General features: G+C 47.8%; 2 protein-coding genes across 30 annotated transcripts in view; one reads left to right on the top strand and one right to left on the bottom strand.

Moving 5' to 3' along the window:
• The window catches only part of FOXM1 (forkhead box M1), a 19495-nt gene extending 4688 nt beyond the window's left edge, over positions 1–14807 (top strand). Inside the window, exons 3-11 of one of the 29 annotated variants that reach the window (XR_931507.2) lie at positions 240–391; positions 3733–3924; positions 5966–6094; positions 7088–7132; positions 7542–7602; positions 7735–7804; positions 7992–8167; positions 11075–11108; positions 12824–14807. Coding sequence is in view for 28 of the 29 variants with exons in the window: in NM_001413925.1 (NP_001400854.1) it covers positions 240–391; positions 3733–3924; positions 5966–6094; positions 7088–7132; positions 7732–7804; positions 7992–8167; positions 11075–11188; positions 12824–13849 (1907 nt within the window). In the remaining variant the exon portion in view is untranslated. Of the gene's footprint in view, positions 1–239; positions 392–3732; positions 4274–5965; positions 6095–7087; positions 7133–7541; positions 7603–7731; positions 7805–7991; positions 8168–11074; positions 11189–12823 lie in introns of those variants that run through there. The other 28 variants (NM_001413938.1, NM_001413926.1, XM_047428547.1 and 25 more) reach the window with 28 other exon arrangements.
• Positions 12696–14807, bottom strand: part of ITFG2 (integrin alpha FG-GAP repeat containing 2) — a 47124-nt gene continuing 45012 nt past the window's right edge. Inside the window, exons 15-16 of the transcript NR_147202.2 lie at positions 14156–14475; positions 12696–12953 (exon numbers count right to left, since the gene is read on the bottom strand). The gene's annotated coding sequence lies outside the window, so the exon portion shown is untranslated. The remainder of the gene's footprint in view (positions 12954–14155; positions 14476–14807) is intronic.

The raw sequence follows: 14807 nt of genomic DNA, 5'->3' as shown, positions 1-14807 counted from the left end.
CAGGCGTGTGCCACCACACCCAGCTAATTTTGTATTTTTAGTAGAGACGAGGTTTCACCATGTTGGCCAGGCTGGTCTTGAACTCCTGACCTCAGGAGATCCACCCGCCTCGCCCTCCCAAAGTGCTAGGATTACAGGTGTGAGCCACTGCACCCGGCCTGCTAGCCACCAATTCTGATGGACACACCTGGGCATCTGATGAGGCAGCTAAGTGGGGTGTTGGATTATTTTCCCTCTAGCAGATGGTGAGGCAGCAGGCTGCACTATCAACAATAGCCTATCCAACATCCAGTGGCTTCGAAAGATGAGTTCTGATGGACTGGGCTCCCGCAGCATCAAGCAAGAGATGGAGGAAAAGGAGAATTGTCACCTGGAGCAGCGACAGGTTAAGGTGAATTGTTCCGTCCCTCACTAAAGAAATCAGATCCAGTGTAGGGAATTCCTAGGTAGGGAAATGGATCAAGTGGCCTGATGGACCAGAATTTCCAAGTTCTGGTATTAGCTCTCCACTTCATGCTATTCTGCATAACTTTTGAGCTATTTTTCTGCCTGGGATCTTTTCTCTCCCATCTGTGAAATTTCCTTGAGGGCAGAGTCCCTTGGTCACTCTGTATTCCAGCCAGCACTGGGTTTAGTATTTTGTCCTTAGTAGGTATTCAGGAAATGATTAAGAGGTCTTCATTTTGGGAATCCACCTGAACTTTAAAGATGCTTCCCAACAGTATGAACAGTATGAATTGAATAGAATACAACAAGTTAATTTTATTAGAAGATATAATATTAATAGCAGATAAAGTCAGTTATATATATACACGTATATATATTTTTTTTTTTTAAGACAGCGTCTTGCTCTGTTGCCCAGGCTGGAGCGCAATGGTGCAGTCATGGCTCTCTGCAGCCTCGACCTCCAGGGCTCAACTGATCCTTCTACCTCAGTCTTCCAAGTAGCTGGGACTTGCCAGCTTGGTGCATGCCACCATGCCCAGCTAATTTTTGTATTTTTTGTAGAGATGGGGTTTCGCTATGTTGCCCAGGCTGATTTCAACTCCTGGGCTCTAGTGATCCTCCTGCCTCAGCCTCCCAAAGGGCTGGGATTACAGGCGTGAACCACCAGCCTGGCCTAGATACGAATTTTAAATACTTCTCTAGCAATCAAAATTGATCTAACCCAATTGTGTAGTCTGGGTTTTTTTCCCACAGTTACCAATATAACACATCTAGATTCTATTGTATATATGTGTAAATCACTCATTCAACCTTTATTTTCTTTTTTTTCTCAACTTTTATTTTAGGTTCAGGGGGTACATGTGCAGGTGTGTTACATGGGTATATTGTGTGTCGCTGGGGTTTAGTGTACAAATGATTTTGTCACCCAGGTAGTGAGTATAGTACCTGCTAGGTAGTTTTTCTGTCTCCCCCTCCTCCCACTCTCCACCCTCAAGAAGGCCCTGGTGTCTAGTGTTCCCTTCTTCATATCCATGTGTGCTCAATGTTTAGCTCCTGCTTTTTTTTTTTTTTTTTTTTTTTTTGAGACGTAGTCTTTCTCTGTCTCCTAGGCTGGAGTGCAGTGCTGCGATTTCAGCTCACTGCTACCTCCACCTCCCAGGTCAAGTGATTCTCCTGCCTCAGACTTCTGAGTAGCTGGGATTACAGGTGCCCGCTGCCACGCCCGGCTAATTTTTGTATTTTTAGTAGAGATGGGGTTTCACTATGTTGGCCAGGCTGGTCTTGAACTCCTGACCTCGTGATCCACCTGCCTTGGCCTTCCAAAGTGCTGGGATTACAGGCGTGAGCCACTGCGCCCGGCCTCTTTTTTTTTCTTTTTGAGACGGATTCTCTCTTTGTTGCCAGGCTGGAGTGCAGTGGCACAATCTCTGCTCACTGAAACCTCTGCATCCCAGGTTCAAGTGATTCTCCTGCCTCAGCCTCCCGAGTAGCTGGGACTATAGGCGCCCGCCACCACGCCCGGCTAATTTTTTTATTTTTAGTAGAGATGGGGTTTCACCATGGTGGCCAGGATGGTCTCAATCTCTTGACCTCGTCATCCACCCGCCTCAGCCTCCCAAAGTGTTGGGATTACAGGCGTGAGCCACCGTACCCAGCCTAGTTCCTACTTATAAGTGAGAACATGCAATATTTGGTTTTCTGTTCCTGCATTAAATCGCTTAGGATCATAGCCTCCAGCTCAACAATCTTTAAAAGTGAAAATTTGGCCAGGCGCGATAACTCATGCTTGTAATCACAGCACTTTGGGAGGCCAAGGTGAGTGGATCACCTGACGTCGGGAGTTCCAGACCAGCCTGACCCCGCCTCTACTAGCAATACAAAATTAGCTGGGTGCAGTAGTACATGCCTATAATCCCAGCTACTCGGGAGGCTGAGGCAGGAGAATCACTTGAACCCAGGAGGCAGAGCTTGCGGTGAGCCAAGATCGTGCCATTACACTCCAACCTGGGCAACAAAAGTGAAACTCTGTCTCAAAAAAAAAAAAAAAGTGAAAATTTACATGCGTGTATATGTAAGTAAATATTAATTGTGCTATATACATAAAATTTGTGTACTTTAGAAAGTAATATCTCCAATTTTAAAAATGTGAATGAGACCGGGCATAGCGGCTGACAATTGTAATCCCAGCACTTTGGGAGGCCAAGGTGGGCAGATTGCTTGAGCCCGTAAGTTCTAGGCCAGCCTGGGCAACATAGCAAAATCCTGGTCTCTACTACTAAAAATACGAAAAAAAAAAAAAAAATCGCCAGGCGCAATGGCTCATGCCTGTAATCCCATCACTCTGGGAGGCCAAGGTGGGTGGATCACCTGAGGTCAGGAGTTCGAGACTAGCCTGGCCAATATGGTAAACCCCATCTCTACTAAAAATACAAAAAAAGTAGCTGGGCGTGGTGGCAGGCACCTGTAATCTCAGCTACTTGGGAGGCTGCAGCAGGAGAATCGCTTGAACCCAGGAGGCAGAGGTTGCAGTGAGCCGAGATCGTACCATTGTACTCCAGCCTGGGCAACAAGAGTGAAACTCCATCTCAAAAAAAAAAAAAAAATTAGCTGGGCGTGGTGGTGTATGCCTGTAGTCCCAGCTACTTGGAGGCTGAGACAGGAGGATCACCTGAGCCTGGGAAGGTCAAGGCTGCAGTGAGCTGTGATCCAGCCACTGCACGCTATCCTGGGTGACACAGTGAGACCCTGTCTCAAAAAAAGAAAAAGAAATGTGATTGATCAGCTCTTTGCCTAAAACTTAGCTAACTGTGTGCTTTGCAGACATTGTCTGACTCATAGTCTTGAGAATGTTTCTCTCATACAAACATTGAAATGAGATGCGTTTATTCACAGCACATCAGGAACAGAAATGGGACTAAGACCTAGGTTTCTAGACCCAAAAGTCTGAAAAACGGGCGTGGTTTTAGTGTAACATCAATGCTTTGAGAATCAAAGTACATACTCAAACTTTCCTAAGAAATTTCAACTGGAAGGGACTGGATTTTCTCCAAATTCAACAAAATGATGGATGACAAAACCAGTTTCTTATTGGCTAGGGTCTAGGCTAGATCATCTCCAAGATTCTTCCCAACTCTAAAATTTTATTCTATGAGATAGTGGTCTCAGATGAGTTTGTTTCTAGACCGTCCTATGGGATAAAGGTTTCTCTAGATGTTCTTCAAGGGCTTGGGTTGGGGGTGCTTCTCATGAACTCTTTCATGTCATTCCCTGTGTCATAACCCTCAGGTTGAGGAGCCTTCGAGACCATCAGCGTCCTGGCAGAACTCTGTGTCTGAGCGGCCACCCTACTCTTACATGGCCATGATACAATTCGCCATCAACAGCACTGAGAGGAAGCGCATGACTTTGAAAGACATCTATACGTGGATTGAGGACCACTTTCCCTACTTTAAGCACATTGCCAAGCCAGGCTGGAAGGTAATGTGTCCCACAGCAACCAAAATCAAGGTCAGCCCAGCCTGACAGTCTCTCCAGTGCTGTACTGCAACTTGTATCTGGGACAGCAGTTAAGTGCAAAGGACACTAGAATGATAAACAAATGTATCTTTTAGATTGTGACTCAATCTTATTGAATCCAGGCAAAATCATTAAGAAGAGCTCCTTAACTACTTCATGTGTTACTACCTAAAGTCCATGGAGGGTCTTCAATGTAGCACTCAAGCCCACTTTTCTGCTACACTCAACAGCCGTCCTAGATGCCAGCAGCTAGAGTGGCTAAGTAGTTTTATGAAAATGTCTTGATTAAAAAAAAAAATGCTGTCTGTGAGCCTCATGACCCAAGATGTCATCTCCTGTAGCGTCACATAGCATTTCTAGTGGGCAGGGGTTTTCCTTTCACTTCATTCATGGAAAGACCGAGATGCCTGTGAGTCAACATAGCTCACGCAGTTGGTCGGTGTCAGAGCCACAAATGAGGTCTTCTGACGGGTGCTCAATTCCAAGTCAAGTGTGCTTTGTTTTCCTCATGGTAGAACTCTTTCTTTTTTTTTTTTTTTTTTTTGAGACAGAGTCTCGCTCTGTCACCCAGGCTGGAGTGCAATGGCAGATCTCAGGTCACTGCAACCTCCTCCGCCTCCAAGGTTCAAGCGATTCTCCTGCCTCAGCCTCCCGAGTAGCTGGGACTACAGGCATGCGCCACCACGCCTGGCTAATTTTTTTGTATTTTTAGTAGAGACAGTGTTTCACCATGTTGGTCAGGCTGGTCTCGAACTCCTAACCTCAAATGATCCACCCGTCTCGACCTCCCAAAGTGCTGGGATTACAGGCATGAGCCACCACACCTGGCCCCTCATGGTAGAACTATGTTTTTTTTTTTTTTGAGATGGAGTCTCGCTCTGTCACCCAGGCTGGAGTGCAGTGGCGCGATCTCGGCTCACTGCAAGCTCCGCCTCCTGGGTTCACGCCATTCTCCTGCCTCAGCTTCCCGAGTAGCTGGGACTACAGGCGCCCGCCACTACGCCTGGCTAATTCATGGTAGAACTTTTAATTTTACTCCCTTCCATCAGCTTACTTTCCTAGTTTTTTGTTTGTTTGTTTTTTGAGACAGGGTCTCACCCTGTTGCCTGGGCTGGAGTGCAGCCTCAGCCCCCTGGGCTCAAGCTCTTCCCTCCTCAACATCCCAAGTAGCTGGGATAACAGGTGCACCACCACAGTCCGCTAATTTTTTTTTTGTAGAGACAGTTGCCCAGGCTGGTTACTATGTTGCCCAGGCTGGTCTGAACTCCTAGTCTCAAGCACTCCTCCTGCCTTAGCCTCTCAGTGCACTGTGATTACAGGCGTGAGCCACCACACCCAGCCTTAATTTCCTAGTTTCTTGTTTGTTTGTTTGAGACGGGGCCTCACTCTGTCACCCAGGCTGGAGTGCAGTGACATGATCTTGGCTAACTTCAACCTCTGCCTCCCAGGTTCAAGTGATTCCCCTGCCTCAGCCTCCCGAGTAGCTGGGACTAAAGGCATGCGCCACCATGCCTGGCTAATTTTTATATTTTTGATAGAGACAGGGTTTCACCATGTTTGCTAGGCTGGTCTCAAACTCCTGGCCTCAAGTGATCCACTCACCTTGGCCTCCCACAGTGCTGGGATTATAGGCGTGAGCCACCACGCCGGGCCTAATTCCCTAGTTTCTTAATTTCTCTGAGCCACCTTTCTTGCTATTGATCACTACCTCACAGCCTTACTCTGCTTTTCTAGCCCCTGACAGCTATCTAGGTCTTTTCTTTATCACAATCTAAGGTTGGCATCAGTCTTTATTCCCGTAGAATAGATGGGTTTATGGCTGAAGGTGACGGCTCTGCGGTGTGGAGTGTCAGGAGAGTTGCCAAGAGGGCTGCAAAGACACCAGACGAAGCCTGTGCTGAGCACAGTGGGAGGGGCCTGAGGCTGGTTTCCCCATGTGTTTGAAGGGTGATGTTTCTGAATCTAAAGTAGCTGATAACCAGTTGTCTTGCTCTTCTTCCAGAACTCCATCCGCCACAACCTTTCCCTGCACGACATGTTTGTCCGGGAGACGTCTGCCAATGGCAAGGTCTCCTTCTGGACCATTCACCCCAGTGCCAACCGCTACTTGACATTGGACCAGGTGTTTAAGGTGAATGCCCTGCTTTCCTCTAAATAGGGCCTAAGTTGGAGGTTGTCATAGCCATCTCAAAAGGAAACAAGTTCTGCTAGTGATGCTTTCATTTGATCAGGGGAGAGTTAGAAGCCAGCCACCCAATTAGTGACTTGCACAAAACCCAGTGAATTAAGTACACTTGACAAATACCAAATGACACATTTTTGTGCCAGACCAGAGCAAGGAGAAGGCTGTTCTGACCCAACAGAAAGGGCTCCCCAGGGCAGTGTTTTCCTAACTTCCCTGTGAATGGGAATTGCCTGGGACATTGTTAAAACACAGCTTCCCAGACCCCTCTCTTGGGGCTCTTGATTTAGTGCTTCTGGGATGGGCCCAGGAATTTGTATTTTTAGCAAGCATCTCAGGTGATTCTTACAAGAAATTCTGGGAATGCTTGCTCTAAAAAAAGCCCTTCCTGCTGGGTGTGGTGGCTCACGTCTGTAATCCCAGCACTTTGGGAGGCTGAGGCAGGTGGATCACCTAAGGTCGGGAGTTGGAGACCAGCCTGACCAACATGGAGAAACTCCGTCTCTACTAAAAATACAAAAATTAGCTGGGTGTGGTGGCGCATGCCTGTAATCCCAGCTACTTGGGAGGCTGAGGCAGGAGAATCCCTTGAACCCAGGAGGCGGTGGTTGTGGAGAGCTGAAATCGCACCATTGCACTCCAGCCTGGGCAATAAGAGTGAAAGTCTGTCTCAAAAAAAAAAAAAAAAAAAAAAAAAAGCCTGCCTTAGGCTGGAGACCAGAAGCTGAGCTACCAGAACGTCTTTTCAGAAAGAAGTTATTTTGGTTTTTCAGAGTGCCCATAAGGCTGCTGGTAGCTGTAACCATTCTCCTGGGAGGGGCAGTTGTCTGGGGTGTCTTTTGTCATCAGTCAGGAATAAGTGTTTTTCCCAATCCGGTCAAATTGACCACGTTGGTGGTAACTTCATCTCATTTCTCTCCCACAATGCCTGGCCGCCACCAGCCACTGGACCCAGGGTCTCCACAATTGCCCGAGCACTTGGAATCAGTAAGGTTCTTTCCCTCTGGCTCGGGGCTTGGCCTTGTTTTCCTTTCACTGCTCAGCATGGCTTTAGTGGACAGAGACAAGATGTGATGTGGGGAAGGGTCCCTATGGCCATGTTTTGTCTAGGTGCCAGCCCTAGACACAGAACACCCTGAGGGTCAGGCACACACCCACTTCCCTCCCCTTCCATGGGCATCACAAGGGCACACTGAGCAGAGCAGGGCACAGCAGGGGAGCATGCTGCAGCAGCCACAAGCGCATGGCACCAGCCTCAGGGGCGGCAGTTCGTTCGCTCACTTTTGTGCCTAGCTTTTCTTTGCCACGCATATAGCTACCTGCTCTGGCATCCCCCAGGGGTGTTGAGGACACGTGGGTGAAGCGGTAGTGCCACTCTGCCATCATGTGTCTGTAGGCCACCCACCTGCCCACTCATCACAGTTTTGGAGACTGCTCGCCTACGTCCATCCCCTCAGGTTGGCCTCCTCTCTCTGGGCTGTCATTAACTCAAGCACACACCACCAGAGCAGCTGGTGGGGTTTTGCCATCCCCTCTTTACCTTATTGTGTTAACATAGGTTTCTTTCTCTCCCCATCTGCCACAAGCAGCAGCAGAAACGACCGAATCCAGAGCTCCGCCGGAACATGACCATCAAAACCGAACTCCCCCTGGGCGCACGTTAGTATGGGAGAGTGGGCCTTGGGCCTGGTCCTTGTTCTGGGGCCATATCTTTAGGGAACCAGACTCTGGGATTCTGTTCCCACCTCAAAGGGATCTGAGCCCAGAGAAGGAGAGCAAAGCTCCTGGGGCTGAGAAGGGGTGTACTCCAGTCCCCCTGCTCCTGATCTCTCGTGTTTCCTCCTAGGGCGGAAGATGAAGCCACTGCTACCACGGGTCAGCTCATACCTGGTACCTATCCAGTTCCCGGTGAACCAGTCACTGGTGTTGCAGCCCTCGGTGAAGGTGCCATTGCCCCTGGCGGCTTCCCTCATGAGCTCAGAGCTTGCCCGCCATAGCAAGCGAGTCCGCATTGCCCCCAAGGTGGGTGTCCTATTTTCCTCTGAAGAGAGATTCTGGCCAATTAAGAATGTTGGACCTTCAGCTTGCAAAGCACTCTGATAAGTGTTCCTTGAGAGCTTATAAATCTAGTTGGGTAGAAAAGGCATAAAAACATAGGGAAGTGTAATAGCATTAGAAGAGCTAAAAAGGTATTTGGATTACAATGTAAGTGGTGTCAGAAGGCCCATAAATACCTGATGAGCTTGTAAGAATTCAGACAAAAGTGATTGTGATAGATGGGCTAGGATTATTAAGGAAGATACACAAGGGAGGCAGGCCTTAGAAAGAGATGGATTTGGCCGGGCGCTGTGGCTTACACCTGTAATCCCAGCACTTTGGGAGGCCAAGGCAGGTGGATCATGAGGTCAGGAGTTTGAGACCAGCCTGGCCAACGTGGCGAAACCCCGTCTCTACTAAAAAATACAAAAATTAGCTGGGCTTGGTGGCACATGCCTGTAATCCCAGCTACTTGGGAGGCTGAGGCTGGAGAATCACATGAGCCCAGGAAGGGAAGTTGCAGTGAGCCGAGATCACTGCACTCCAGCCTGGGTGACAGAGCGAGACTCTGTCTCAAAAAAAAAAAAAGAAAAGAAAGAAGTGGATTTGAGGCTAGACGCTGTGGGTCTCACTTGTAATCCCGACACTTTGGGAGGCCGAGGCAGGGGTATTGCTTACAGCCAAGAGTTCGAGACCAGCCTGGGCAACATAGCAAGACCCCAGTCTCTGCTAAAAATGCAAAAAAAAAAATTAGCCACGGTGGTAGTACATGCCTGTGGTACCAGCTACTCAGGAGGCTGAGGCAGAAGGATCACTTGAGTCCAGGAGGTTGAGGCTGCAGTGAGCCCTGTTTGCACCACTGCACTCCAGCCTGGGCAACAGTGAGGCCCTGTCTCAAAAAAGAAAAGAAAAAAAGTAGATTTGGGTAAGCAAACAGGTGTAGAGAGAGCATGCTAATGGGCAGTGCCATGGAGGCGGGAAATGCAGTTCGTACCTGGCAGTAGTAAAGTGACTGGGTCAGACTAACTCAGGGTTTCTCAAGTACTATTCACGTTGACAGCTGGAGAATTCTTTGTTGGGCGTGGGAGGGACTGTCCTGTGCACTGAAGGGTGTTTAGCAGTATCCCTTGTTTTCCCCACTAGACGCCAGTAGCACCCACCACAGGCGCGGCAATCCAAATGCCTCCAGACATTGCCAAATGTCCCCTGGCAGGGAGGGAATCACCCCTGCTTGAGTATCACTGGTCTAGCTTGAGGGGAAGGTGAGAAGGGTAAATTCAGAGCCAACTTGGATCAGCCATCAGATCTGCACTTAACACTGTTAAAGGGTTCTGTGAGTACGGGCTGACATGTAACCAAAGTGAAAAGCTTCCCCCATCCCCTTCAGAGAGATGAAAATAGCATAGAGTCTGGAGTTTAGAGCGACTTGGGTTTGCTTTTTTTTTAATATATAAAATCTTTTAGGCCATGCACAGTGGCTCACACCTATAATCCTAGTATTTTGGGAGGCCAAGGCAGGAGGATCACTTGAGGCCAGGAGTTCAAGACCAGCCTGGGCAGCAAAGTAAGACCCTGTCTGTAACAAAAAAAAAAAAATTTTTTTTTAATTAGCCAGGCATTTTCATGTATACCTGTTGTCCCAGCCACTTGGGAGGCTGAGGCAGAAGGATTACTTGAGCTCCAGAGCTGGAGGCTGCAATGAGCTATAATCGTGCCACTGCATTCTAGCTTAGGCAACAAAATGAGACCCTGTCTCTAAAAAACATTTTCTTTAATTATAAATAAAACATATTACACACAAAATTATACCACACATACATAATTTAGCGTAAATTCATTCATGTGGCCGTAGCATGTGCCCTGTTTGGGTTTTCATGCAGTGGGTTTTCTCCCCTTTCCTTTTTGGCTCCCTCTCCACCCTACCATCACCCACATCACCCCTACTCCCAAGATAACTGGTTGATAATTTATGATGCTTTCTTGCATATTTTATCAATGCTCTTAGTTATACTATACATGTATAGCGATAGCCATTTTATATGTACACATACAACACACAGAACATTGATAATGTAATCATGTTGTGCATACTTCTCTACATGTCTCTTTTTTTTTTTTTTTTTCCTGAGACGGAGTCTCACTCTGTCGCCCAGGCTGGAGTGCAATGGCATGATCTTGGCTCACTGCAACCTCCGCCTCCTGGGTTCAAGCGATTCTCCTGCCTCGGCCTCCTGAGTAGCTGCGATCACAGGCGCACGTCACCACGCCCAGCTAATTTTTGTATTTTTAGTAGAGATGGGGTTTCACCATGTTGGTCAGGCTGGTCTCGAGCTCCTGACCTCATGATCCGCCTGCCTTGGCCTCCCAAAGTGTTGAGATTACAGGAATGACCCACCACGCCCAGCCTCTACATGTCTCTAACTCAACAATGCCTCATGGAATTTCTTCCAAGTCACTTGGCATAGTCCTAATTCATTATTTTTTAGTGTCCATGTAATATTCCATGATGTGGCTACACCACAGATTTTTCAGCCATTCCACTTTTATGGACAGATTCTGTTTCTCAAATTTTGCCCAATGAACGACACTGCAATAAATATGTTTGCAAGGATCTCTCTTACTAGTGCTTTCATTTCTCTAGGATAGAGTCCCAGATGTGAGATTGTTGGGTGAGAAGGTATTTTAAATTCTACTAAATATTGCTAGATTGCTTTCCAAAAAAGCTATGATAAGTCATGTTTAAACCAGCAATATATGATAAGATCTATATCTTTGCCAGCAATTGGTATTATTAGTCTGTTTAATATCTGCCAATCTAATATGTATAGGTTATATCTTCTTAATTTTTTAAAATGTTTTATTTATTTATTTTTAAATTTTTTATTTCCATAGGTTTTTGGGGAACAGGTGGTGTTTGGTTACATGAGTAAGTTCTTTAGTGGCGATCTGCGAGATTTTGGTACACCCATCACCAGCTTGTTTAATTTTATCTTTCTTTGTTTATCAGTAAGTCTGAGCACCTTGTCATTATGTTTGGTGACTTGGAATTGTCCTCTATGAATTGGTTATTTATGAACATTGCCCATTTTTATATAGGTTTTGTTATCAATTTGTGAGAGCTCTTTTTTTTTTTTTTTGAGACGGAGTCTTGCTCTGTCACCCAGGCTGGAGTGCAGTGGCGTGATCTCAGCTCACTGCAGACTCTGCCTCCTGGGTTCAAGCGATTCTCCTGCCTCAGCCTCCCAAGTAGCTGGGATTACAGGCGCCCACCACTGCGCCCAGCTAATTTTTGTATTTTTTAGTAGAGACAGGGTTTCACCATCTTGGCCAGGCTGGTCACGAACTCCTGACCTCATGATCCACCCACCTCGGCCTCCCAAAGTGCTGGGATTACAGGCATAAGCCACCACGCCCAGCCTGTGAGAGTTTTTTTTTTTTTTGAGATGGAGTCTTGCTATGTCACCCAGGCTGAAGTACAGTGGTGTGATCTTGGCAACCTCTGCCTCCCGGGTTCAAGCAATTCTCGTGCCTCAGCCTCCCGAGTAGCTGGGATTACAGGTGCATGCCACCACGCCCGGCTAATTTTGTATTTTTAGTAGAGACAAGGTTTCACCATGTTGGTCAGGCTGGTCTCGAACTTCTGACCTCAGGTGATCTGCCTGCCTTGGCCTCCCAAAGTGCTGGATTACAGGCGTGAGCCACCGCACCCAGCCCCCTGTGAGAGCTCTTTGTTGTTAAAATAATCTTCTTTCTTTTATGCTGAAGATATTTTTCTACTTCTATTGTTTATCTCTTTACTTTCCTTTCTTTTCTTTTCTGAGACAGGATCTTGCTATGTTGCCTAGTCTGGAGTGCAGTGGTGTAATGAAGGCTCACTACATCCTTGACCTCCCAGGCTCAAGTGATCTTCCCACCTCAGCCTCCCACCTGTAGCTGGAACTACAGGTGCATGCCACCACATCCAGCTAATTAAAAAAAATTTTTTTGTAGAGATGGGATCTCACTATGTTGCTCAGGCTGGTCTCAAACTGGCCTCAGTGTCTTGCAGTGCTGGGATTACAGGCATTGTTTGTTGTTTCTTAACTTTGTTTATGGTATCTCTTGCCACAGTAAAATTTTAAAGTTTTATGTAGTCAAATGTCTCTCTTCTCTTTTACAGTTTCTGGGTTTCCAGTCTTGGTTAAGAAGGTCACCCGCACCCTCAGATTGTATATGTAGTCTCCTAGATTCTCTTTCAGGATTTGTATGATTTTAAGGTTTTCATTTTTTTTTTAAAGCCAGTCAAATTTAGCAGTTGGGGGTTGTGTACCAACTTTAGTGACAATAATGTCACTACCCGCTACCATCAGAGCAGCCTAAGGTTCTTATTTTCATGCATTAAATCTTTGTATACAGTGTAAGACAAGCATGCAATTTTATTTCCTCTCGGATGAATGCTATTATAATTATGCCACTACATACTACATACCCGCATCTTTTACCCCCAGAATTGAACTACCAACTTCAACATACATCGTATTCTCATATTTAATAGATTTTAAGACTTCAAAACGACACAAAGAGGATCAGAACCCGTATGTGATATTTTTGTGCGTCCTGTCTGGTGACCGTTGGTTCACCTTATCTCTGTTTCCCTTTCAGGTGCTGCTAGCTGAGGAGGGGATAGCTCCTCTTTCTTCTGCAGGACCAGGGAAAGAGGAGAAACTCCTGTTTGGAGAAGGGTTTTCTCCTTTGCTTCCAGTTCAGACTATCAAGGAGGAAGAAATCCAGCCTGGGGAGGAAATGCCACACTTAGCGAGACCCATCAAAGTGGAGAGCCCTCCCTTGGAAGAGTGGCCCTCCCCGGCCCCATCTTTCAAAGAGGAATCATCTCACTCCTGGGAGGATTCGTCCCAATCTCCCACCCCAAGACCCAAGAAGTCCTACAGTGGGCTTAGGTCCCCAACCCGGTGTGTCTCGGAAATGCTTGTGATTCAACACAGGGAGAGGAGGGAGAGGAGCCGGTCTCGGAGAAAACAGCATCTACTGCCTCCCTGTGTGGATGAGCCGGAGCTGCTCTTCTCAGAGGGGCCCAGTACTTCCCGCTGGGCCGCAGAGCTCCCGTTCCCAGCAGACTCCTCTGACCCTGCCTCCCAGCTCAGCTACTCCCAGGAAGTGGGAGGACCTTTTAAGACACCCATTAAGGAAACGCTGCCCATCTCCTCCACCCCGAGCAAATCTGTCCTCCCCAGAACCCCTGAATCCTGGAGGCTCACGCCCCCAGCCAAAGTAGGGGGACTGGATTTCAGCCCAGTACAAACCTCCCAGGGTGCCTCTGACCCCTTGCCTGACCCCCTGGGGCTGATGGATCTCAGCACCACTCCCTTGCAAAGTGCTCCCCCCCTTGAATCACCGCAAAGGCTCCTCAGTTCAGAACCCTTAGACCTCATCTCCGTCCCCTTTGGCAACTCTTCTCCCTCAGATATAGACGTCCCCAAGCCAGGCTCCCCGGAGCCACAGGTTTCTGGCCTTGCAGCCAATCGTTCTCTGACAGAAGGCCTGGTCCTGGACACAATGAATGACAGCCTCAGCAAGATCCTGCTGGACATCAGCTTTCCTGGCCTGGACGAGGACCCACTGGGCCCTGACAACATCAACTGGTCCCAGTTTATTCCTGAGCTACAGTAGAGCCCTGCCCTTGCCCCTGTGCTCAAGCTGTCCACCATCCCGGGCACTCCAAGGCTCAGTGCACCCCAAGCCTCTGAGTGAGGACAGCAGGCAGGGACTGTTCTGCTCCTCATAGCTCCCTGCTGCCTGATTATGCAAAAGTAGCAGTCACACCCTAGCCACTGCTGGGACCTTGTGTTCCCCAAGAGTATCTGATTCCTCTGCTGTCCCTGCCAGGAGCTGAAGGGTGGGAACAACAAAGGCAATGGTGAAAAGAGATTAGGAACCCCCCAGCCTGTTTCCATTCTCTGCCCAGCAGTCTCTTACCTTCCCTGATCTTTGCAGGGTGGTCCGTGTAAATAGTATAAATTCTCCAAATTATCCTCTAATTATAAATGTAAGCTTATTTCCTTAGATCATTATCCAGAGACTGCCAGAAGGTGGGTAGGATGACCTGGGGTTTCAATTGACTTCTGTTCCTTGCTTTTAGTTTTGATAGAAGGGAAGACCTGCAGTGCACGGTTTCTTCCAGGCTGAGGTACCTGGATCTTGGGTTCTTCACTGCAGGGACCCAGACAAGTGGATCTGCTTGCCAGAGTCCTTTTTGCCCCTCCCTGCCACCTCCCCGTGTTTCCAAGTCAGCTTTCCTGCAAGAAGAAATCCTGGTTAAAAAAGTCTTTTGTATTGGGTCAGGAGTTGAATTTGGGGTGGGAGGATGGATGCAACTGAAGCAGAGTGTGGGTGCCCAGATGTGCGCTATTAGATGTTTCTCTGATAATGTCCCCAATCATACCAGGGAGACTGGCATTGACGAGAACTCAGGTGGAGGCTTGAGAAGGCCGAAAGGGCCCCTGACCTGCCTGGCTTCCTTAGCTTGCCCCTCAGCTTTGCAAAGAGCCACCCTAGGCCCCAGCTGACCGCATGGGTGTGAGCCAGCTTGAGAACACTAACTACTCAATAAAAGCGAAGGTGGACATGC

Source organism: Homo sapiens, chromosome 12, assembly GCF_000001405.40.
Source record: "Homo sapiens chromosome 12, GRCh38.p14 Primary Assembly".
NCBI classification, from domain to species: Eukaryota; Metazoa; Chordata; class Mammalia; order Primates; family Hominidae; genus Homo; species Homo sapiens.
Note: the sequence above shows the minus strand (reverse complement) of the source record. Positions and strands in the feature narration are given on the sequence as shown.